Source organism: Homo sapiens, chromosome 3, assembly GCF_000001405.40.
Source record: "Homo sapiens chromosome 3, GRCh38.p14 Primary Assembly".
In the NCBI taxonomy this organism is placed as follows: Eukaryota; Metazoa; Chordata; class Mammalia; order Primates; family Hominidae; genus Homo; species Homo sapiens.
The window spans coordinates 69,310,518-69,334,111 of record NC_000003.12 but is presented as its reverse complement, the minus strand read 5'-3'; the positions used below and the strand labels follow the sequence as shown (position 1 = coordinate 69,334,111).

The 23,594-nt window shown below is 42.0% G+C and overlaps 1 protein-coding gene across 13 annotated transcripts in view, besides 1 other annotated feature; it reads left to right on the top strand.

Moving 5' to 3' along the window:
- Positions 1-23,594, top strand: part of FRMD4B (FERM domain containing 4B) — a 373,805-nt gene that overhangs the window by 208,475 nt on the left and 141,736 nt on the right. For 10 of the 13 annotated variants that reach the window (XM_017005993.2, XM_047447767.1, XM_047447771.1 and 7 more), the window contains 2 exons: positions 20,595-20,660; positions 22,755-22,849. In XM_017005993.2, coding sequence (XP_016861482.1) covers positions 20,595-20,660; positions 22,755-22,849 — 161 coding nt within the window. Of the gene's footprint in view, positions 1-5,587; positions 7,521-13,165; positions 13,224-20,594; positions 20,661-22,754; positions 22,850-23,594 lie in introns of those variants that run through there. The other 3 variants (XM_047447768.1, XM_017005994.2, XM_017005992.2) reach the window with 3 other exon arrangements.
- Positions 13,155-13,204: an enhancer, noted in NCBI's record as "active region_20054". NCBI's record gives its function as "activates an Ori minimal core promoter by ATAC-STARR-seq in GM12878 lymphoblastoid cells {active_cell/tissue: GM12878}" and the evidence as "EXISTENCE:reporter gene assay evidence [ECO:0000049][PMID:35858748]".

Here is a 23,594-nt window from a genome sequence, read left to right as displayed (position 1 = left end):
CCTGATCATAGCCCCATTATCTTAAGAGTGTTAGCCATATCCAGTGGCCAGCACACTCTAGACACTTCTGTTATTGTAGAGAGACCTGTTAGAGATGGATGCAAGAGATTTACCCTTTTTCAGCCTTGCCTCTGCTGTCTTGGGGAAGTGGGAAGGTTGCTTTAAATGACGTGTCTCGTGATCTGTAAATAAAAGAAAAATAATTTCTGGCCACTTCAATTATGGCATAAGTTTTGGTTATCTGACACCTACCCTCACCCTCTCCCCAACAAAAATGTGTAGTCACTACTTTATCCTCAAGAGCCTGGCACAGAGTAGGTGCTCAAAAAATAGTCATTCACTGGAAAGCAAACAAGACAATGGATGAAGCCAGCAAAATGGACCACGTTCACAATTTGATGGAAATTGGGTATTTTATTATGTAATCAGAAGAAAGAAATGATAAAATAGACTAATTGCCAATTATAGGGAAAAAACAGTCCCAATTGTCCCCTGTTATTAAAGTTTAATTAATAACTTACTCCTGTGTTGCAGAAGAAGAGGTACCTATGAATTTCTGTAGCAACTAAGGCAGAATTCAAATTGGCTGTCACACAGAGACATTGTAATGGAACAAAACTGAAAGTTCTACAAGGATTTCTAATTCTCAACCAAAATATTCATGGAAATCTGGGGGTGATCTGGCTCATTTGACTTTTCCAGGTTCATATCTTTTTTCTCCACGTTTCATCCCCGTCTGCACCACGGGATTCCCTTTTCTTGTTTAAGCAAATCATTTCTCTTTGATGAAACTCTTCCTTGCTCCAGTGCACTAAAGCCTTCAGGACTCTGACAGTAGTTGGAATAGTTCACAAGCCAAAAAAACCAGAGATTTTTATCTCCAGGACAGTTGCAGAATTCTCCAATTTTTTTTAAAATGTGTATTTTTTTCATTGACTGCAGTCTAATAAAAGGCTTCAGGGACTGGCAGGCTGAGCCATCGAGGCAGCCAAGACCATAACGATGGAGCACTGCAGATTCCCAAAAGCATCCCTGAGTTGAGAGAGCTGCATTCAGCTTACAATTCTAGTTTAATGTGATGGAAAGGCTTCCCACTGTAAAAGGCACAAGATGAAGCATTGCATACAGGAACTGGCTTATATTTTAGCTTGATATTTTTTAACTCTGCTTTTTGGTGAATGCTCTTGTTAAGGACGAGGAGATGGTTTGAAGCGATAGAAAAAAGGAGCTCCTGGCTGGGCACAGTGGATAATGCCTGTAATCCCAGCGCTTAAGGCGGGAGGATTGTTGGAGCCCAGGAGTTTGAGAACAGCCTGGGCAAAATTGCAAGACCCCATCTCTACAAAAAAAAAAAAAAAAAAAAAAAAAATAGCCAGGTGTGGTGGTGCACACCTGTAGTCCTAGCTACTCGGGAAGCTGAAGTAGGAAGATCATTTGAGCTCAGGCGTTCAAGGCTGCAGTGAGTCATGATCACGCCACTGCACTCCAGCCTGGGCAATGGAGTGAGACCCTGTCTCAAAATAAATAAAGAAAAAGAAAAGAAAGGAACTCCCATCAGGAGTCTTGTCTCATTTACCTTTGTGACCACAAGGGAGGAAGAAGTCCCTGGGGAGTCAGACAGGTATGATACCTGATCTTGGCCATCCTCACCTGAGGCCGGTGACTTCAGGCAAGGCATGTGCCCTCTCTGAGTAGCTGCTTCTTTGGGCCTCAGTGACCTCATCTGTAAAATGAGGGTATGACATTTCTGGCACATTGAGACTCCTTGTAAAGTTCAAAAGAGGAAATAGAGGTGAAAGCACTTCAAAAATTTGAGGCACTCCAGACAGGTGAGGTGATGATGGAACATTCAGACTAGGTTTTATGTGGCCAGACCTGCCTGCTCCCTTCTCTTCTGCAAGGTCCAGGGACAGAGTGGAACCTGCTCACCACCTGCCCGGCACCTGAACATGGCCTGTGGGAGCTTTCATCCTGAAGGAGTCTGTATCAATTGCTTGGTGTTTTTTTGTTTGTTTGTTTTTTTCTGAGATGGAGTCTTGCTGTGTCGCCCAGGCTGGAATGCAGTGGCGTGATCTCAGCTGACTTTAACCTCCCTCTCCTGGGTTCAAGCAATTATCTGCCTCAGCATCCCGAGTGGCTGGGATTACAGGCACCAGCCACTGCGCTAGGCTAATTTTTGTATTTTTAGTAGAGACAGGGTTTCACCATCTTGGCCAGGCTGGTCTTGAACTCCTGACCTCTTGATCCACCCACCTCGGCCTCCCAAAGTGCTGGGATTATAGGCGTGAGCCACCATGCCCAGCCAATTACTTGTTGTTTGTTAGTGAAAAGTATAATATTATTAATAATTATTAATATTACCATTTATAGAGTGTGTCCTCTGCCAAGCATTTTATACATCTTATCTCATGTGAGCCACCCAGCCCTGGGAAGTGAGTGTGCTTTTAGTATCTCCATTTTCAGACAAGAAAACCAAGGGTCAAGAGAAGTGAGGTAACCTATACAAGGTCACACAGTAGTATAGAGCAGAGCTGGGATTTAAGTCCAAGTCTGTGCTCTTGACCCTGACACTTCTTAAATAATACACTGTACTTTAAAAAGTAATAATATGGAATGCTAACAGTGCACTAGGCAAAATTATCTCCATTTTACAGCAGCTACTCAGAGAGGATACATGACTTGCCTAAAGTCACCAGCTAGTTAGAGGGCAGGCCAGCATCAGATATCATACCTGTCTGACTCCCCAGGGGCTGCTCCCAACCACCGCCCTACGCCGAGGGGCTGAGTGGCCAGCTGCACCCAGTATTATCCCTCTGCCTAAAGCAAGAGTGACCAAAATTTCAAATTCTGGAATTTAAGGACTCCTCAATGAGTTTGCATAATCCCCTGTCCAGGCCACTCTTACCAGAAGCACCAACGCTTTTTTGAGTGATCCTACTCTACCCTCCCCACCCTTCAGAAATACTGTTTAAGAGGAAGTCTAAGAAACAGCTTTGAGATAGGGACACGGGGGAAAATATTTGGTTCCCTGGATACAGCCTCAAGTGTTGGTTGAGATTTCCTCTCACAAGACACGTTCGTTCCTTCTGATGGAGGCAGAACGGAACTGAGATTAGAATAGAGCAGGAACAGAAGTGGGAGAAACTTGCCGACAGAGCATAATGACATGTGCTCAAATCTGCTTGTGAATGAAAAAGTTGGAAACATCTTCCACCGGTGCTTTAAGGTCATGGCAGCCTCCTTCAGCAGGGAAAAGATTCCAGAAAGATAGCAGCAACACAACTGGGAGGCATCTAGCAATTCAGCGGCAAAAGAGGCCGGGCGTGGTGGCACACGCCTGTAATCCCAGCACTTTGGGAGGCTGAGACAGGAGGATCACTTAAGCCCAGGAGTTCAAAACCAGCCTGGGCAACATAGTGAGACCCTGTCTCTATTATAAAATACATAGATAAGGAAAAAAAAAAGGCGGCCAGGCACAGTGGCTCACGTCTGTAATCCCAGAACTTTGGGAGGCTGAGGCGGGCAGATCACGAGGTCAGGAGTTCGAGACCAGCCTGACCAACATGATGAAACCCTGTCTCTACTAAAAATACAAAAATTAGCCAGGTATATTTCCGCACACCTGTAATCCCAGCTACTCAGGAGGCTAAGGCAGGAGAATCACTTGAACCCAGGAGGCAGAGGTTGCAGTAAGCCGAGATCACCCCATTGCACTCCCGCCTGGGTGACAGAGTAAGACTCCGTCTCAAAAAAAAAAAAAAAAAAAAAAAAGGCAAAAGAATCAAAATATAATGTTGTATACCTTGAATATATATAATATTAAAAAAAAAAAAAGACAAAGGAGTCACTCAGCTGCCAATGGGACCTTCAAAGTAGAAATGGGTAGAAAATTCAGAAGGAGAGCAGGAGATGGAAATGAAGGAAAATCAACTCATTTGTTCATTCCACAAATATTTGTCGAGCCCCAGGATGAGCTAAGCACTGTCTTAGGGGCTAGGAAAACACCAGGAAATGAAACAAATCTCTGCATTTGTGGAACTTACATTCCAGTGGCAAAAGAGCTGGAAAGGCAAATGACACAGAGGATCTGATATGAGAGTTGCCATCCAAGGTCAGGAGACCTTCATCAGTGAGCTATGCACTGTGGATTTCTTGAAGTATAATAATAAATTTATTTTTAACTTTTAGGTTTGGGAGGTTCATGTGAAGGTTTGTTACACAGGTAAACTCGTGTCATAGGGGTTTATTGTACAGATTATTTCATCACCCAGGTATAAAGCCCAGTACCCAATAATAAATTATAACAAATCCCGGCACTTTGGGAGGCTGAGGCAGGCAGATCACCTGAGGTCAGGAGTTTGAGACCAGCCTGGTCAACATAGTGAAACCCCGTCTCTACTAAAAATACAAAAAAAAATTAGCCAGGCCTGGTGGCGGGCGCCTGTAATCCCAGCTACTCGGGAGGCTGAGGCAGGAGAATTGCTTGAACCCAGGAGGCAGAGGCTGCAGTGAGCCAAGATCACACCATTGCACTCCAGCCCAGGTAACAGTGTGAGACTCCATCTCAAAAAAAAAAAAAAAAAAAAAAAAAAAAATTAGCTGGGCATGGTGGTGCATGCCTGTAGTCCCAGCTACTTGGGAGGCTGAGGTAGGAGAATTGCTTGAACCCGGGAGGGAGAAGTTGCAGTGAGCAGAGATTGCGCTACTGCACTCCAGCCTGGGTGACGGAATGAGACTCTGTCTCAAAACATAAAAATAAAAATAAAGAAATAAATTATAATAGTCACCTTTATGTTGGCCTCTGTTCGCCAAGTTCTATGCACAACAACCCTGGAAGGTATTAGTAAATCTATTTTAGAGATTTAAAATAGTAAGTCCTACTAAAGTTAAGTAAGCTGGGCTTCAAACAGAATTCTCTGTAAACCTGAAGCCTCTGTTTGTTCATCTTTATCACGTGGTCTCTCAACGGCCTCCACATCCTGAGTGTTCTGACCATCACTTTCTCCACTGGTATGCTGGTAAATGTTTCTCAGCTGTTACTGGAAAGTGGTCCTGATCCAGAGCCCAAGAGTTCTTAGATCTCGAGCAGGAAAGAATTTAGGATGAGTCCATAGAGTAAAGTGAAAGCAAGTTTATTAGAGAAGTAAAGAAACAAAAGAATGGCCACTCCATAGGCAGAGCAGCACCGAGAGCTGCTAGATGGCTATTTTTATGATTATTTCTTGATCATATGCTAAACAAGGGGTGGGTTATTCATGAATTTTCCAGGAAACAGGCAGGCAGTTCCCAGAAGTGAGGGTTCCTTCCCTTTTTAGACAATATAGGGTAACTTCTGGATGTTGCCATGGCATTTGTAAACTGTCATGGTGCTGGTGAGAGTGTCTTAAAGCATGCAATTGCATTATAATTAGTGTATAATGAGCAGTGAGGACTACCAGAGGTCTTTTTTCATCACCATCTTGGTTTTGGTGGGTTTTGGCTGGCTTCTTTGCTGTGTCCTGTTTTATCAGCTGAGTCTTTATGACCTGTATCTTGTGATACCAGCCCTGCTGACCTCCTATCTCATCCTGTGACTAAGAATGCCTGACCTCCTGTGAATGCAGCCCAGTAGGTCTCAGCCTTATTTTACCCAGGTCCTATTCAAGATGGAGTCACTCCAGTGCAAACACCTCTGACACAACCAGCTCTGGGGAAAAAGGGACACTGATTTGCAACACTTGCCATTTTCTGTGGTGTAAATACTCTCACCTTGACTGACTTACTGATCTGGGAAGAGACGAGCAGTAGCATATCATTAAATGGTGTTACTTCCATGCAGATTCAATAACCACAAGAGCAAAGGTCATAGTAAATGTAGTAAAACAATTGGAAAGTGAAGAGTTTTATTACCTTTGCTTTTAATGCGATTTATTTCATTGTAAGTTCATATTAGTTGTACCTAACAACCAGCTTGAAAATGGGACAGTGGGCTTTCGTGAGTGGCCAAGAGCCAGCTCTCCACCACCATTCTGTCTCTCAAAAGATCTTTCCTCCCAGTTATGTTCCCTGGTGCTTGCCAATAAATCTTTTTTTTCTTAACTCCTTTTTCATATTTCTATGTTCTCCTGACCTGTGGCTTCCAGTTTTGTTGTTTTGTTTTAATCGTTGAATCCCACATTGGCTTCAAAAAGAGTCTGAATCCCATTTAAAAACACAGCCTGCATTAGGTGACAAGGAAGCTTCATGACTAAATAATATAAGCCTGTAAGTTGAGAGGAAATATTTCTTCTGTGACAGTGAAACAAGTCCTGGATGTTAAGATTAAGAATTTTTCTATATGTCCCAAATGAGTTTGACTTTTCTGTTTTTACAATTTGGTGATGCTTTTCTAAAACCCTTACCCAAATATGATGTTTCTACCAACAAATCAGAGATAGGCTAGGACTCTGGACCTAATACAATCCGTTTGTTTTAATTATAAACTCCCTAAGGAGGACTTATTTCAGCCTCTACCTATACATGAGTCACAAAAAATAAAGAGACTTGGAAAAGCATAAATCAGAGACATTCTAACAGGGTTGACGAAAAATTGAAACATGAAAACCCTGAGAGTAAGCATGTACTCCATAATTAATGTAAAGTTGATTCTGATTTTCTAATTAATTTTTGCTAATTCTTAGGTTCTCAGGACGATGTATGTGATTTGTTTGCTTTGTGAGTGGCTTCCATTGAGCCCAGGATTTCCAAATGTATTATACCGTGAATAGGCAATACCTAGAATATCTTTAAATTACAAGTACTGCAGTTTATTTTCAATATCTCTTCACACAAGTTACACTTGAGACTTTTAAGTCTTTGAAAGACGCAGTACTTTTTTACTCCTTCCTACAGGTTGTTTTTCACGGGAAAAGAGAAAACTGACAGTTGGCAAAGCAAAAAGTTTCCAAACCACAGGGTGTCTGCTGCTTGCATACTCACTGAAGCCAAAATTTCCATTTTCTACAAGGCAACTGGAGAACTTTCATTTCTGGTTAACCTGAACTGCAGATGAAAATGAAAATCCCCCCACCCCCAACCCACAGGCTGTGCTCTCAGCTTTTCTTAGTTCCATTTTTGTGACTTTTCCTGTTTACAGTATCTGTGCCCTCCCATTTTTTTGTTTTTTTATTTTTGACTCATTGATACTGTACCATGACGTCTAAAAATACAGCCTAACAACTGGTTTTAAGCAACGAGGCTGTTTCTTTCTGGAGAGGAACAGCAGAAATATCCTGCATGTTTTTCTGAAAATAAACATTTGACAGTCTCTTCTTGGTGCCTAACATGAGTTTCTAATTGGAAAAGCACAGTCAGAATATAAAGAGAATCTTGCTTTTCACTGAAGTTTCTTCCATGTAGATATATACCCTGATTTTTCCCTCTCATGTTGTTTGTTGAGCACCTTTTTGAGCTTGGCCTAGCCCCTTATAAACTGTGGGACCTCAGACAAGTCATTCTCAACTTCGTGGAATCTCAGATTATGGAAACTATCTGCTTCACAGGTAGGTTTGAGAGCTCAATGGGGAAAATGTATGTAAAAGCAGATGGCATAGGCAAAGCCATGAACACATATTAACTTGCATTTTATGGAGATGAGAACAAAGGAATGATCTGGTCACAATCAGATAAGGTGTTAGAGTTTACCACCTTCCTTCCCCAGATTTGGACATATGGACAGCTAAAAATGGTGGTTGTAAGTTAGTCTGTTGATTATCACTAGAAAAAATCAGATTGAATGAATCCCCAGCTATTAGGTTTTTGGGTCTCTCCAGGGTTTAACTGGCGGGTTGATTGTCAACTTAAACATGACAGCTTAGTGTCTTAATAATGTAGAAGAGGCTGGGCATGGTGGCTTATGCCTATAATCCCAGCACTATGGGAGGCCGAGGCGGGAGGATCACTTGAGCCCAGGAGTTCAAGACTAGCCTAGGCAACATAGTGAGACCTTATCTCTACAAAAAAAAAAAAAAAAAATTGATTAGCCAGGCATGATGGTGTGCACCTGTAGTTCCATTTACTTGGGAGGCTGTGGTGGGAGGATTGCGTGAGCCCAGGAGGCTGAAGCTACAGTGAGCTATGGTCCACTCCAGCCTGGGTGATAGAGAGAGAGACCTTGTCTCAAATAATAATAATCTAGGAAAACTTTTTTCTTGAGAGAAGTACGCACTTAAGCAAATTAAAATAACCATTTCTGGAGAACAGGATAGTACTCAATAGCTTAGACATTATTTCCACTAATAATAGTACTCACGGCACTAGGGTAAGGATAAACTGGTAATACATGTCAAGCACTTAGCACAGACTCTAACACCTAACCTATACTCAATAAATGGTGTATTACTGATGATACAATTATCATCTGTGCTTTAAGGTAGAGTTTATAATCAGTTCAACCTGCCTTAATACAAGAGGCAAACCCAAATGAGACTGATTTTTTATCCTTTCCATTTCATAGGGGCAGAAACTGAGATTTAGAGAGATACCATGATATTCTCTTAGGTAAATAGCAGGGCTGGGACACAAACTCAAACCTCGTGACTCTAAATCCTGTGTGCTTCTCATTGACACTAGGCTGGTGTCTCCTGATGGCCTTCAGCTCCAGGCTTAATAAGTTGCTTTGCTTCTTTATTTTTCTTTCTTCCTTTAAAACCTGGCTTTTCTTTTCACCAGACTTATCAGATCAGGCTAGAATCTGATAAGGGATTGTCATTTATGAGAATGCCCTCCCCAGGGAATGTCTGCCCGAAGCTGGCTGGAATTGCCTGCCAGGTTGGCATTAGAGCTGCAGCAATGGCCGTCCATTGACTGGCCAGCCTTTCTTGTTTACTTTCTCCCAACCTCTGTAAGGCAGAAAGGAGCATGCAGTTAAATGTTTAGAAAACACCATCAGCCCTCCAGTCTCTACTGGGAGCCACTTGACCAAGAGCAGTGGTCCAATATAAGTTCTCTCCATCAATTAATTTCTTTTCTTTCTTTCTTTCTTTCTTTCTTTCTTTCTTTCTTTCTTTTTTTTTTTTTAGACAGTATCTCACTGTTGCCCAGGCTGGAGTACAGTGGCACAGTTATGGCTCACTGCAACTCGAAACACCTGGGCTCAAGTGATCTTCCTGCCTCAGCCTCTCAAGTACATAGGACTACAGGTACACGCCTGGCTAATTTTTTGTAGAGACAGGGTCTTACCCTGTTGCTCAGGCTGATCTCAGACTCCTGGGCTCAAGCAATCCCCCCCCGCCTCAGCCTTCCAAAACATTAGGGTTACAGGAGGGAACCACCACATCCGGCCTTCTCCATCAATTTCCTCATTTCTCGTGCTTCCTGGGTAAAGAGAAGTGAGTTTTGCACATGCTTAGAACTCAATTCCATTGCCAGTTTATCTACTTCAGAGCCCTTATTATCTGAAAATATCATATTTGTTTAATTGTTACTAGTTTCTTTTTTTCTCCTCACCTCTAAAGCAGTTGTTCTCAAAAGAGGTGATTTTGCGTCCCAGGGGACATTTGGCAAGGTCTGGAGACATATGGGGGAGGATCTACTGACATCTAGTGGGTAGAGGTCAGGGATGCTGTTTAGCACCCTATAGTGCCCAGGACTATGCTCCGCAATAATGAGTTATCTGGCTGCAAATACCAATGAAGTTGAGAACTGTAGGACAAGCTCCAGAGATAATGCCCTTTCAGTCTTATTGGCTGGTATATAATAGTGCCAAGAACAGTGCTTGCACTTAGAGAGTGCTCAGCACATATTGGTTAAGTGAATGAATGAACACATAATCCAGAGCTTTTCCACACTGAATTAATTACATGTGTGCTAGGCTACATCTTAAGCCCAGAGTAATATGGAGTCAGGTCCAGGAGGCCACATAACTGACAAATATCATCCTGTACCCTGAGTGTTCACATATGCATGACACAGCCATGGAAGCATCCCAACAGGTGGAGATTAATTCCATCCTGACTGCCCAAGGAAGATCAATAGCAAACATAGACACCATTTTTAGCAGCTGCCCATATTTCATCAGTGTGGGGCCAGGAAGTAGCCAAGGGATGGTGATTGTAAAACCTTTCTCTTCTTCTGGCCTTGCTTCGAGACAGTGGCCTGAACCAGCCAACTCTGGTTTGGTGAGTCTGGATCAAGCTTTTCAGAGCAGTGTTAGGCTTCGCAATCAAGGTGATACATTAAGTGCCTAAACTACATGTGATTTAATATATAGGATGTATGAGATAGGAAATACTTTGTACTGAAGTAATATAGCCCTTAAGAGCATGGATTCTGGAGTCAGAACACCTAGGTTTACATCCTACTCTGCCTCTTCCTGGCCCTATGACCTTGTAAGGTGGGTCAGCCATGTACCTTTTCTGAGCCTCAATTTTCTCATCCATAAAATGAAGCTAGTAATGGAATCCACCTTACAGAGTTCTTATGAAAATTCATTTAAAACGCATATATATATATATATATATATATATATATATATATATATATATACACAGAGAGAGAGAGAGAGAGTTGGGTTTTTGTTTTGTTTTTTTGAGACAGAGTCTCGCTGTGTCGCCCAGGCTGGAGTGCAGTGGTGCGACCTCAGCTCACTGCAACCTCCACCCACTGGGTTCAAGCAATTCTGCCTCAGCCTCCCAAGTAGCTGGGATTACAGCATGCGCTACCATGCCGAGCTAATTTTTTTGTATTTTTAGTAGAGAGGGGGTTTCACCATATTGGCCAGGCTGGTCTCAAATTCCTGACCTCAGGTGATCTGCCCACCTCAGCCTCCCAAAGTGCTGGGATTACAGGCATGAGCCACCACGCCCGGCCATAAAAGGCCCTTTGTATATAAATGAAAGGATTTGGGATAGTTATCAGGCACACAGTCAGCAGCTGTTATCTTTGTTAGCATTTCTCTTAAGGCATGTTACTCAATTACTCAATTTCAGCTTTGGCAAACTGAATTCTCCTCTTCTTTGTCATTCCTCCCCTCTTCCCTCATTTCATTTTCCTTTCCTCCTTTGCTTCTTTTACACTGCCTGCTTTTCTCCCTCCCTCATTGTCTTTTTCCTTCTCCACTTCCAGTGAACCTGCAAGAGATGTACAGGAGTCCTACTTTGGTACGACTGATGGAACCTGAGATTCTACCCAACTTTATCACTGTATGACCAGGCACCACTTAACCTCTGTGCACTTCAGTTTGGTCATCTATGAAATCTAAACAGAAATCTCATGCCCATAACCCCATCACTTCAAGAGGCCAACGTGGGAAAAAATTGCTTGAGTCCAGGAGTTCGAGACCAGCCTGGGCGATACAGCAAGACCCCATCTCTACAAAAAAATAGAAAAAGTTAGCCAGGTGTGGTGGCACATGCCTGTGGTCCCAGCTATTCAGGAGGCTGAGGTGGGAGGACTGCTTGAGCCCAGCAGGTCGAGGCTGCAGTGAGTCATGTTCATGCCACTGTACTCCAGCCTGGGCAACAGAGCAAGACCCTGTCTCAAAAAAAAAAAAAAAAAAAAGAGAGAGAGAAAAATCTAAACAATGACTCTCCCTGGTAGGGTTGTTAGCAACATGAAAGAAGTCACTACACATGTGAAGCACTCCATACTCGTGTGACATGTAGTAAGTGTTTGCTAGAAGCTAGGAGAATCATTTATTGACACTTAAAAAAGAAGTCTCCAGTGATTGCACATTGGGAGGGTAGGCACTGTCTTGAAAGAACTTGAGGGAAAATCACAGCTGACTCCATTTGGAGACATCTGTGTCAGTCTAGGCCATTCTCTGAACGGGAGTGTCAATAGCTCATATTCAGTCAACACCCAGAGATGATATAAAGGGGCCCTGTTCAGCTAGGGTTGACATCATTAGGGTGAAATATAAAACTCCATCCACTCAATAGATCCCAAAGTAAGAACGTCCTAGATACATCCTTCTCCCGCTCTCCAGTTCCTCCAGAATATCTCATCTGATGAGGAGTTTAATAACACACCTTGTTCTCTGGGTGGAAAGAGTGTTTTTTATGTGTGAGTTTTTCTGGGCCAGGGCTTGGGAGTTGCCTGGAAAATCCTCGCTTTGGATTGTGCTCTGTCTGTTTAAATCATTTGTGAGCCAGACGCAATGGCTCACAGCTGTAATCCCAGCACTTTGGGAAGCCAAGGCAGGAGGACTACTTGAGCCTGGGGGTTGAAGACAAGCCTGGGCAACATAGTGAGATCTCCATCTGTACAAAAAATTAGCCAGGTGTGGTGGCACTTGCCTATAGTCCCAGCTATTCGGGAGGCTGACGTGGAAGAATCACTCAAGTTGGGGAAGTCAAGACTGCAGTGAGTCATGGTTGTGCCACTGTACTCCAGCCTGGGTGACAGAGTGAGACCCTGTGTAGAAAAAAAAAAAATCATTTGTGAATGTATTTCAGTGTTAGCTGTGTCTGGGTTCTGAACAGTTAAGACATTTCTTAACTCAGCAGATATTTATATACCACGGTCTCACCGTGTGCCAGGCACTGTTCTAGGCCCTGCGGAGACAGTGGTGAACAAAGCAATAAAGCTCTTAGACAGTTTTGGACCACTGTAGGGCTCAATTGGAATTATGGAACCTGCCTAGATAGCTGGGTTTTCACCCTTCCAGATGGCAGATTTCACTCTAGAAGGTGACCGCACAGAAAATCCTGAGGAGGCATTTTTATGAAGCAGGCCCTTTCTCACTAGGCTTTCGAAAAGGTCAAAAGGAATAAGGGAGAGAGAGAGAAGAAAAATTTTTAAAAAGGCTTGCTGCTTCCTTACCAATTTCATATGTTTCTGTTCCAAAGAACAACTAAAGCAAAGCCGAAGTAGGCTACGATTTTGGTCTTTTTTTGTAGCTATTTCCTGTTGCCTTGTAAGACGACCCCGTTGTTATGAGTGGTTCCATACTGCCCTGTCTTGAATTGCCTTTTGGTTTCTTACCAACCCACTCTCCTCTCTCATCTCCTAAACCAGGCAGTGGGATTGGGGGCCAGGGTGGGGGAGTGTGTTCTCATAAAGACTTGAACCCCACTATGGGCTGCCGCATCAGGGCCCTCTTTGAAACCAGAGGTCTGGCTTATAGCCAATTCTTACTTCCCTTCTGATCTTCCTCATTTAACCACTGACCAGATGGACAAAGTCTTTCCACCAGTAATCAGCACTTGCACTCTGAGGACTGACTCTTACCAGCTGGGGAGCAAACAGGCCAGCTGGAGACCGAGGTGGGAGTTTTAATCCAACACATGTAATTTTTGCCTTCGAATTCCTGGGGTTCCATGAGGGGAGAAGGTAGCGGGAAGGGGATCAAGTCAGAGTAGATGTGAAGAGAAGCTTTCCAAAGAGATCGTTTTTTAAATATGTTTTTTATTTCATCTGAAGCATTGCTGCTATTAGCTGCCACTAGGTAGGGGTCAATTCTGAAACTATTCTGATGGTCTCTGGGGGTTCAGAAATGATCCTATATTTGTAAATATAATCATTGTGCTCCACATACAGCTCTTTTCAAATATAACTCCTGTTTTTTTGTTTTTTGGTTTTTGCTTTTAGAGACAGGGTCTTGCTGTATTGCCCAGGCTGGTCTTGAACTGCTGCTGGGCTCCAGCGATCCTCCTGCCTCAGCTTCCCGAGTAGCTGGGACTACAGGCACACACCACAATGCCCGGCTAATTTCTTAATTTTTTGTAGAGATGGTTTCTCACTATGTCGCCCAGGTGGGTCTCAAACTCCTGGGCTCAAACAATGCTCCTGCCTCAGCCTCCCAAGGTGTTGAGATTACAAGAGTGAGCCAACACACCTGGCCCAGGTCAGGTTTTAAGGTAAATTTAAAATTCCCAGTTGGGGTTTTATTTTTTTCTGTTTGTTGTTATAATTTTTAAAAAAAATTTTTTAATTGACACGTTGGGGAAAAAGTTCATTTGAATAATATGGTATTTATTACATGAGTAACCTTGTTCAGGTCACTTACGCTGTAGCCTGGGAGTCAGAGTCCTGACTTTTAAGCCCAGGTCTGGCATTAACTAGCTGTGTGGCTTTGGGCACATCCATTCCTTAGTTTCCCCATGTTTCAAATAAGCAGTGGTTAATAGATACCGTCTAAGATGCTTTCTATTTATAAATTCCGCAGTTCTAACTACTTCTATTCAAATTATGTTTTTCTGGAAGTGAAATGAGTTTTCATGCCTGCTTCATGATTCTTTGTTTTTGTTTTTCTACCCACTCATCTGATCCATCGAAAATGGGCTGCGTGGGAAGTTTTCTCACCATTTGTCACTTTACAGTGTGTGTAGTACCATCTGTATTGCTAAGTGGTTAAGTGCTTTGGGCTTTGAATTTGGATCTGGTTCTGCCACTTATGAATTTTGTTATTTATCATCTCTCTAACATCAGTTGGAGTGCTAAGAGTACCCACCTCATGTAAGCATCATGAGAATTGATTATGTAAAGTGCTTAGTGCAATACCTGGAATATAGAAAGTGCCTAGGAGTGATATTATTGATATAATTAAAGTGCCTCGCTGGGTGCCAGGCACACAGAAGACACTCAGAAACCAGTGGTTCCTTCTCTTTCTTTATTTCCCCTACAGCAGCTCTGGAGAATTTTTCTGCCATATGCTTGTTAAGTGACTTGTTAACTTTACCTGTTATTTATCTTCTTTAAAATGGGTCAGTAATATTCCTCCCATTAAAAATGTGTTTTTTTAAATAGGAAAATATATAGATTACAGAAAAGCGTAGCTGTCAGTTTTCAAACAAATGGGGACTACAATAATTGTGGGCCTCAGAAGTGGCTGATTTTATTCTGAGTTTCAGATTAAATGCTGTCAGGACATTTCTTATAAGGCTCAGAAAGGTCAAGTAATTTCTCTAAGGTAGCACAGCTAGTAAGAGATAAACTATGCTTTCGATCCAGAGTATAACTGCATTAGAACTCCTGTGCAAGTTACATCACTTGTCAGGCCTTAATTTCCTGGTGGTTAAAATGAGGATGCCCCCTTGATAGGTTTGTGTAGAGGTTGAAATTCTATACATTAATGAGTGTTAAATGTCAAGCACTTTGCCCGGTCCACAGCAGGGTTTGTGTTTGTTTTGGTTGTGTCTCTTCGCTGGCACCACTTCAATCAGGGTTTGCTCACTCAGATGACAGAACTCATCACACCTCCCAGGAGCCTGGCAGGTCATACATACATTTGGGTGAACCAGAGACCACAAAGCTCATCGGAATAGAGAACTACTCTGCCCTGCCCTTGCCAAATATTGCCATGGAAGAAATCAAGCCCAGAATTTCCAGGTCTTACCATTTGTCAAAAGAAGCTGTCAATCTGGATTTTTTAATTATGTGGCATTACCTGATTTCTAATATTATCAACTAATATTTATTCATAAGCACTGTTGTGGTGAACAAAATACATCCATCACTTTTCCACCTCCAATTTAAATAAGTGACAAGGGCAGGCCTTTCTGTTGCTAGCGAGCATCAAATCAGCCCCCTGACCTATCAGCAGAGCCATCTTTCCACATGCTGAACACCATGTGTGCTGCGCGGACATGTAACCCTGGTGTTTTTCTCTCTAGTTCATCTGTGCTACCCTCTCCAGCCTGCCCTGTGTGGTGTTCCACCAAACCCTCAGGTGTTTGTTCATGCCCCCTCCCCAGATGTCAGCCTCTCTTGGTTGTTGTATTGTCATCGATGGGCGCCTCAGTGATTATGAGTAGATGACTTTCTCGTATTAATGACATCATTTGGAGAGTCTATGCTTTGGAACTCTTTTGCTTTGGTTTTGGCATGGAAATTTGTGGAGTCTTATAAAGATGCTTTTAGTTGCAAGAAGCAGAATCCGGCTGGGTACTATCGCTCACATCTATAATCCCAATACTTTGGAAGTCCAAGGCGGGCAGGTTGCTTGAGCCCAGGAGATCCGTACCAGCATACGCAAGATAGTAAGATCCTGTCTCTGCAAAAAAATATATAAAAATTAGCCAGGCATGATGGCATGTACCCATAGTCCCAGCTACTCAGGAGGTGGAGGCAGGAGGATCACTTGAGCCCAGGAGGTCGAAGCTACAGTGAGCCACCTTTGTGCCTCTGCATTCCAGCCTGGGTGACAGAGTGAGACTATCTCAAAAATAAATAAATAAAGCAGAATCCTCCCTCTTAGCTTAAGAGAGGGAAAAAAATGGATTTGTTAAAGGAATACAGGGTGTTTCATGAAACTCAAGGACAAAAATTCACCCGGATCAGTGAAAAGGACTATAAGTGACTGGAAAACATTAGGAACCCTGACAACAAATCTGTTAAGCTTGTCTTCTTAGGCCGCATGATTTCTCTTGCCTCCTTTTTTTTTTTTTTTTTTTTTTTTGAGTTGGTGTCTTGCTCTGTCACCTAGGCTGGAGTGCAGTGGCACGATCTTGGCTCACTGCAATCTCCGCCTCCTGGGTTCAAGCAATTCTCCTGCCTCAGCCTCCCAAGTAGCTGGGATTACAGATGCACACCACCACACCCAGCTAATTTTTGTATTTTTTTAGTAGAGACAAGCTTTTACCATTACCATGTTGGCCAGGCTGGTTTAGAACTTCTGACCTCAAGTGATCCTCCTGCCTCGGCCTCCCAAAGTGCTGGGATTACAGGCGCTAGCCACTGCACCCAGGTCTTTTGCCTCCTTCTAGCTACTTGTCTCCCTCATTCTTTCTGCAGGTGGCTTTCCTTTTCTCCACACACACAAAATGGCTGCCCATAAACAACCAAGTTTTTATCCTCTCAGACCCAATTCCAGATTCCCTGGACTGAGGTTCTGATTGGCCCAGCTTGAGTCAAGTATCTATCCCTTGCCCAATCAACTGAGGACAAAGGGGCAGGACCAAGTAAAACCTAGCCACCAATGCCTAAGTTTGTCATGAAATGGTTAGGCACATCAAAAAGATATCTACAGTTGAATAGTCTAGAATAAAATTATCTGTTGCTAAAAGGAATATTGACTAATATGAGGGAGTTCCAAAGCAAAATGGAAAGGCAAAAAAAGATGATTTTTTTTTTGAGGCGGAGTTTCGCTCTTGTTGCCCAGGCTGGAGTGCAGTTATGCAATCTCACCTCAGCCTCCCAAGTAGCTGGGATTACAGGCAACTGCCACCACGCCTGGCTAATTTTTTGTACTTTTAGTAGAGACAGCGTTTCACCATGTTGGCCAGGCTGGCCTTGAACTCCTGACCTCAGGTCATCCACCAGCCTTGGCCTCTCAAAGTGCTGAGATTACAGGTGTGAGCCAACACACCCAGCCTGATTTTTTAAAGTCAGGAAATAAACTTATTTGGATTATGGGACAACAGAGTAGCTTTAAATATTTTCTCAATTATGACATATTCCTTAATGGATTAATACTGTGTGATCTTTTGAGCATTATTTTTTTATATCTTTCTGTAGGGCCTACACCTAGGATTAGCTTTTGAAGGTTGTTTTACAAAAGAAGTAAAGTGATTTAAACTGACACATTTATTTATTTCTCTCTTAATTATATCCTCCTCTGGTATAGAAATACTGACACATTTTATTTCTCTCTTAATTATTTCCTCCTCTGGTATAGAAAAGCAGAAAAAAAAGATGACTTTTTTTTTTTTTTAGTTAGACATTAATTCAAATCTTGACTTGGCTGTTTTCTTGCCTATGTAACTTTGAGTAAATTACCATAAACTCTGTACCTCAATTTCCTGTCTGTAAAATGGGGATGTTGCCATGTTGTAAACTTTTGCAGAGCTTTACTGAGATAATACATGTAAAAAGCCCAGCTCAGTGCCTAGAGCTAATAAAGACTTGCTCTGTTTCCCCTTGCCACCCAAGGTGTATATTTGACCTTGGCTTTGCCGAATTAAGGACATAGGCTTAGGCCATGAGACAAAGTAAAGCTTACTCACTTACCTCTTAGCACTACCTCAGTGGTTCCTGTGGGCCACATCTTCATAATACCATGATCTAACCAGCTGAGCTAGTTTTCAGACTCTTAAAGCAGAGTTCGATCAAAACTATAAATTCAATAATTAGTATTTTTCACATTGAAAACAGGTTACTTATCCCAGTCTGAGCCTCAATTTAGCTGTTAAATGGGGATAGTAATACTAATCCCAGAAGGTAACTGTGCCGCTCAGAAATAATGTATATAAAACACTTCATGCAATGCTGAATAGGTTGTTGGTACTCAGTAATGGAGGCTATTTTCTTTTTCAATTAGGTTTATATGTATCTGAGTTCCTAAAACTTATAGTTTTGTACAACGGCTTAGAGCCAAAATGTTGCCCCTGCTTTTCAAAAGTGACCTAGCAATTCCACATCCATGGACAAAGCTAGATGTGCAAAGTTCATGGTGACATTGCTTGTGATAGCAAAAGATTGGAAACAACCTGTTTCTCTTATTCAATTATCGTGTATCCACACAATAATTGATACTATAGAGTCTTTAAAAAGAATGAGGTCCATCTATATGTGCTGACATTGGAAAGATCAACAAGAATCATTGAATTTAAAAAGCAAAAGGCAAAACAGCAAGTGAAGCATAGTCCTACTGAAATTGAAAAAGAAAGAAACAACAACAAAAAATATGTATACACACACATACACGGATAAACACATATACACACATATATATCAAATTTCTGGATGGTTACACTCACACAGAAATATTAAGAGTACTTCATTTGCAAAACAATACATTCAATATAATATGTACTAAAGTAAAATAATATGAAATATTTTAATATGTAAATATATATCTGAAAATACATATAAAAGTGGTCTATGAGGATTCTTAAACTAATAGGATGGTGATTTCTGCAGATAAAATGGTTTGGAACATGAGTTAATCAAGGAGTATCTTGGCATTCTATGCATTGTTTAAGTATTTTACAAAGTTTTTTTAGTATTGCAATTCTGAATAATAAAAAACTAAATATAATTGAAAATGTATGTATCAAACTGTTCTTAACTATATATCTTAACTGTTCTTAACTATGGTGGTGATAGTAAACTATGTTGGTGGACTAAAAGTAGGGGGAGAGTTTCCAAAATGAAGACTTTTCATTTTTATTTTAAGAGATGAGGTCTATGTTGCCCACAGGCTTGGGTGCAGTGGCTATTCACAGGCATGATCCTGGCTCACTACCGTCTTGAACTCCTGGCCTCAACTGATCCTCCCACCTCAGCCTCTTGAGTAGCTGGGACTATAGGTGCATGCCACCATGCCCAGAGAGACGTTAAACACACCAATGAATAAATACTTTTTTTTTCTTTTTTTTGGAAAAGTGTCTCTCTGTGTCACCCAGGCTGGAGTGCAGTGGTACAATCTCAGCTTACTGCAACCTCAACCTCCCAGGCCAAAGGGTTTCTCCCAACTCAGCCTCCAGAGTAGCTGGAACTACAGGCACATACCACCATGCCAGGCTAATTTTTGTATTTTTTGTAGAAAGGGGGTTTCACCATGTTGACCAGGCTGGTCTCAAACTCCTGGCCTCAAGTGATCTACCCTGATTGGCCCCCCCAAAGTGTTGGGATTACAGGCGTGAGCCACTGTACCCAGCTGAATAAAGGCTTTTTTTTTTTTTTGAGACAGAGTCTCGCTGTGTCACTCAAACTGTAGTGTAGTGGTGTGATCTCAACTCACTGCAAACACCACTGCCCAGGTTCAAGCAAATTCTCATGCCTTAGCCTCCTGAATAGCTGGGATTACAAGTGTGCACCACATGCCTGGCTATTTTTTGTAGTTTTAGTAGAGACGGGGTTTCACTATGTTGTCCAGGCTGGTCTCAAACTCCTGGCCTCAAGTGATCTGCCTGCCTCTGCCTCCCAAAGTGCTAGGATTACAGGAGTGAGCCACTGTGCCTGGCTGGCTTTTTTTTTTTTTTTAATAAAACATTAATTCCAGGAAAAATATAGTAGTTTCCTCTGGGATGGAGAGGCTTTTTTTTTTTTTTTTTTTTTTTTTTTTTTTTTTTGAGACGGAGTCTCGCTCTGTCGCCCAGGCTGGAGTGCAGTGGCGCGATCTCGGCTCACTGCAAGCTCCGCCTCCCGGGTTCACGCCATTCTCCTGCCTCAGCCTCCCGAGTAGCTGGGACTACAGGCGCCCGCTACCACGCCCGGCTAATTTTTTGTATTTTTAGTAGAGACGGGGTTTCACCGTGTTAGCCAGGATGGTCTCGATCTCCTGACCTCGTGATCCGCCCGCCTCGGCCTCCCAAAGTGCTGGGATTACAGGCGTGAGCCACCGCGCCCGGCCTTTTTTTTTAAATAAAACATTAATTCCAGGAAAAATATAGTAGTTTCCTTTGGGATGGAGACCTACTTTTCATAGAATAATTTTGTGTGCATTGTTTGAAATTGGTGGACTGTATGGACATTATTTTTGCAATATATTGACTAGCCTGTGCTCTTTGTTCTTCTTTTAAATCCAGTTACTCCCATATAATAAATCTGTTTTTGGCCAAGCCTGTTTATTAACTCAACTAAAGCCATTTTTAGGCTGAGCCCATCTCATATAAAATAAATGATACAACGAGTCCAAAGGTTTGCTTGCCAGCCGTGGCCCTGACACCACTCTTGCTGTCTTGTTCCTGCAGATGACAGAAGGCAGGCACTGCCAGGTGCACCTCCTGGATGATAGGAGACTGGAGCTGCTGGTTCAGGTAGGTGTGGCCCACATGTGTGTTGCCCAGATAAGTCTTGCCCAGGTAGGTTTTACCCTCACGGGGACAGCTCATCCTGGTTCCCTCTCTGAGCCTCATAGTCTGTATTCAGGCTTCTCTGTTATCTTTGCCTCAAAGCCAATGACTCAGAATTGATCAAGGGGAAAAAAACATCTTCGAAGTCAGAAAACTTGGTCCATATGTTAGAGTAATTATAGCCTGGTGACATGGATTCAGAGACACTTGAGTTCCAGTCTCAGCTTGACACTTAATAGCTCTGTGACCCTGGGAAATTGACTTTACTTCTCTGAGTCTCTTGCCGGTAAATTGGGAACCGTAGTACTTCCTGAAAGGATTACTGTGAGGTGAGAATCTGTCTGCCACTGTCCAGCTACATGGCATTGTGCAAGTGAAATACCCAGTTTCATTAGCTGTGAACTGCCTAGGCTTCTCAGAAGAATTATGGTTAAAAATCAAGCTAGATTATATATGTGAGTGAAATCTCTTTGTAAAATATATGGCACTATATAAGTGATGATATAGATAGATATATTTTTTTTTTTCAGACGGAGTCTTGCTCTGTTGCCCAGGCTGGAATGCAGTAGCATAATCTCAGCTCACTGCAACCTCTGCCTCCCGGGTTCAAGTGATTCTCCTGACTCAACCTCTTGAGTACAGGCCACCACCACCTTGCCGGGGTAATTTTTGTATTTTTAGTAGAGACAGGGTTTCACCATGTTGGCCAGGCTGGCCTCGAACTCCTGACCTCAAGTGATCCACCCTCCTCAGCCTCCCAAAATGCTGGGATTACAGGCGTGAGCCTCTGCGCCCAGCCAAGCGATGATATTTTTATTGTTGATGCTTCTCTTTCTATTCACCCAACACTCTGGACCAAGAATCTTTAAAAATTGTGAAAGTCCCTGCGGACGGGCCACACCTACAGCTAGCCTAGAATTTTCTCCTCTAACCAAACCTAAATTCTTTTCTCTTCTGAGGCCTGTCCCTAGCCCACTATGCTTAGGCTTCAATTAGAGTGAAATAGTACAGTCAACAGTAGCTTTGCCCAAGTAGACCTTTAGTCTAGATGTCTGCCTGTTTCTTTTCTTTTTTTCTTTAAATCATGTCCATTTTTATCCCCAACAGCCATCGTAATATACCCTAAGCTGTTTTGCTCAAAGTTCAGAAAGAATCCATCCAGAGTGCCCTCCTGCAAGGATTCCCCTTTTCTTCCCCAGTCCCTCCAAATCCAGCATCAATTATCACTCCAGGCATTCTGGCTGGTTCCAAGCCCATGCTTCTTCTCAGCAGATCCAGAGCTTCCCAAAAGCTTATAGATTACATCCTTCTTCTAACTAGGTGCTCATTACTGTTGATGATGATGTGTGGAATGGGTACAATTTCTCTATCTCAGGAAGGAAAAGCTTAGGCTTTAGAAGGAGACAGACTAGGTTCAAATCCCTGCCCTTACTAACAATGTAACATCAAGCAAGGTGCTTAACTACTCTGGGCCTTGGTTGACTCATTTATAAAATGGAAATAAAAAGCCCTGCCTCATAGCTCATTATAAGGATTAAATGACAATGGGATATAAGTTCAGCATAATAAATAGTAACTATTATTATTATTATTATTAATATTTTCATCAGTAGCCCCACAGCTTTGAGTCTTGGGTTTCTTCAACTGGCCACCAACAAGCAAAATGTTTCCTGCAATCTTTTATATATCACAGATAACCAAGCAGCAAGGTGTTTAATATTCCTTGTCTTGGGCATTAGCACCACGTTACATATAAAAGAGTATTTTTTCCAAAACATCTTAGTAAGTGCACCTTAGAGGGAAAATGTAAGGTACTTGAGTGAATTGCAAATACATGAAAATGATAGTCTCATTGATATTCCTATTCCCATCTCTTCTCCTTCCCACAATTCTTAAAGAATTGTCTATAGTACATCAACCTAATCCACAAACAAGGGCAAGTAATAAAGAAACAAACAAATAAACAAAAGCTACTTTAAATTATTTAGGGCAGAGGAAGGTGGTAGCAGTAAGAGAGAGGCAACCAAATTGCTTCTAACCAGATTTTTATTTTGACAGCCCAAACTTCTAGCAAGAGAGTTGCTGGACCTAGTGGCTTCACATTTCAACCTGAAAGAAAAGGAGTATTTTGGAATAACATTCATAGATGACACGTAAGTCCTTTAATAGTTTTAGTTTCTTTACCTTTTGCCTGGGCTACCTACTTGCTGTCTTCCATAATTAACAAAAAAGGAAATAAGTCCTCCAGCATTCAGAACATGTCCTGCTTAGCTAAAGGTTTTTTAATATGCGATTTTTCTCCTAGGATTATGGCAAAGGGAGAAGAAAAGGGATACTGACCATTTTAGGAACTCAAAATATTGTTCTAAATGTTTTAGAAATGTGTAGTAATGAGTTTGTTATTCCCGATTACAGTGTATCTTCTCATGTCTTTGAATGTGATTGTGCTTGCTAATTTAGCTTATATGGTAGAAATATTAGATATTTACTCACATCTTGAAACTGAGTGGATGTGTTGGTGTTGGTGGCAAGAGAGCTTAAAGGCAAATTTGTGGCCCACTAAAAAACATGTATATAGTTTAATATGGAATGAACTTTTAAACTACCACTTAGGTCCATTTTATGTTGCCTTCTCAACTATCTTTTTCTTTTTTTTTTCACTTTTGCCTTTTATGCTAAGTTGTTGAATGTTGTATATATTTGTCAACAATATATATGCTCCCCAAAACAAGGCAGGTAAATAAAAATAAATTCATGAGAATTTAACACTCTAAGCAAATGTGTTTGGATTTACTAGCTCTTTTCTCTCTCTCTCTCTCTCTCTCTCTCTCTCTGTGTGTGTGTGTGTGTGTGTGTGTGTGTTTGTCTGTGTGTATCTGTCTGTCTTTTTTATGGCAG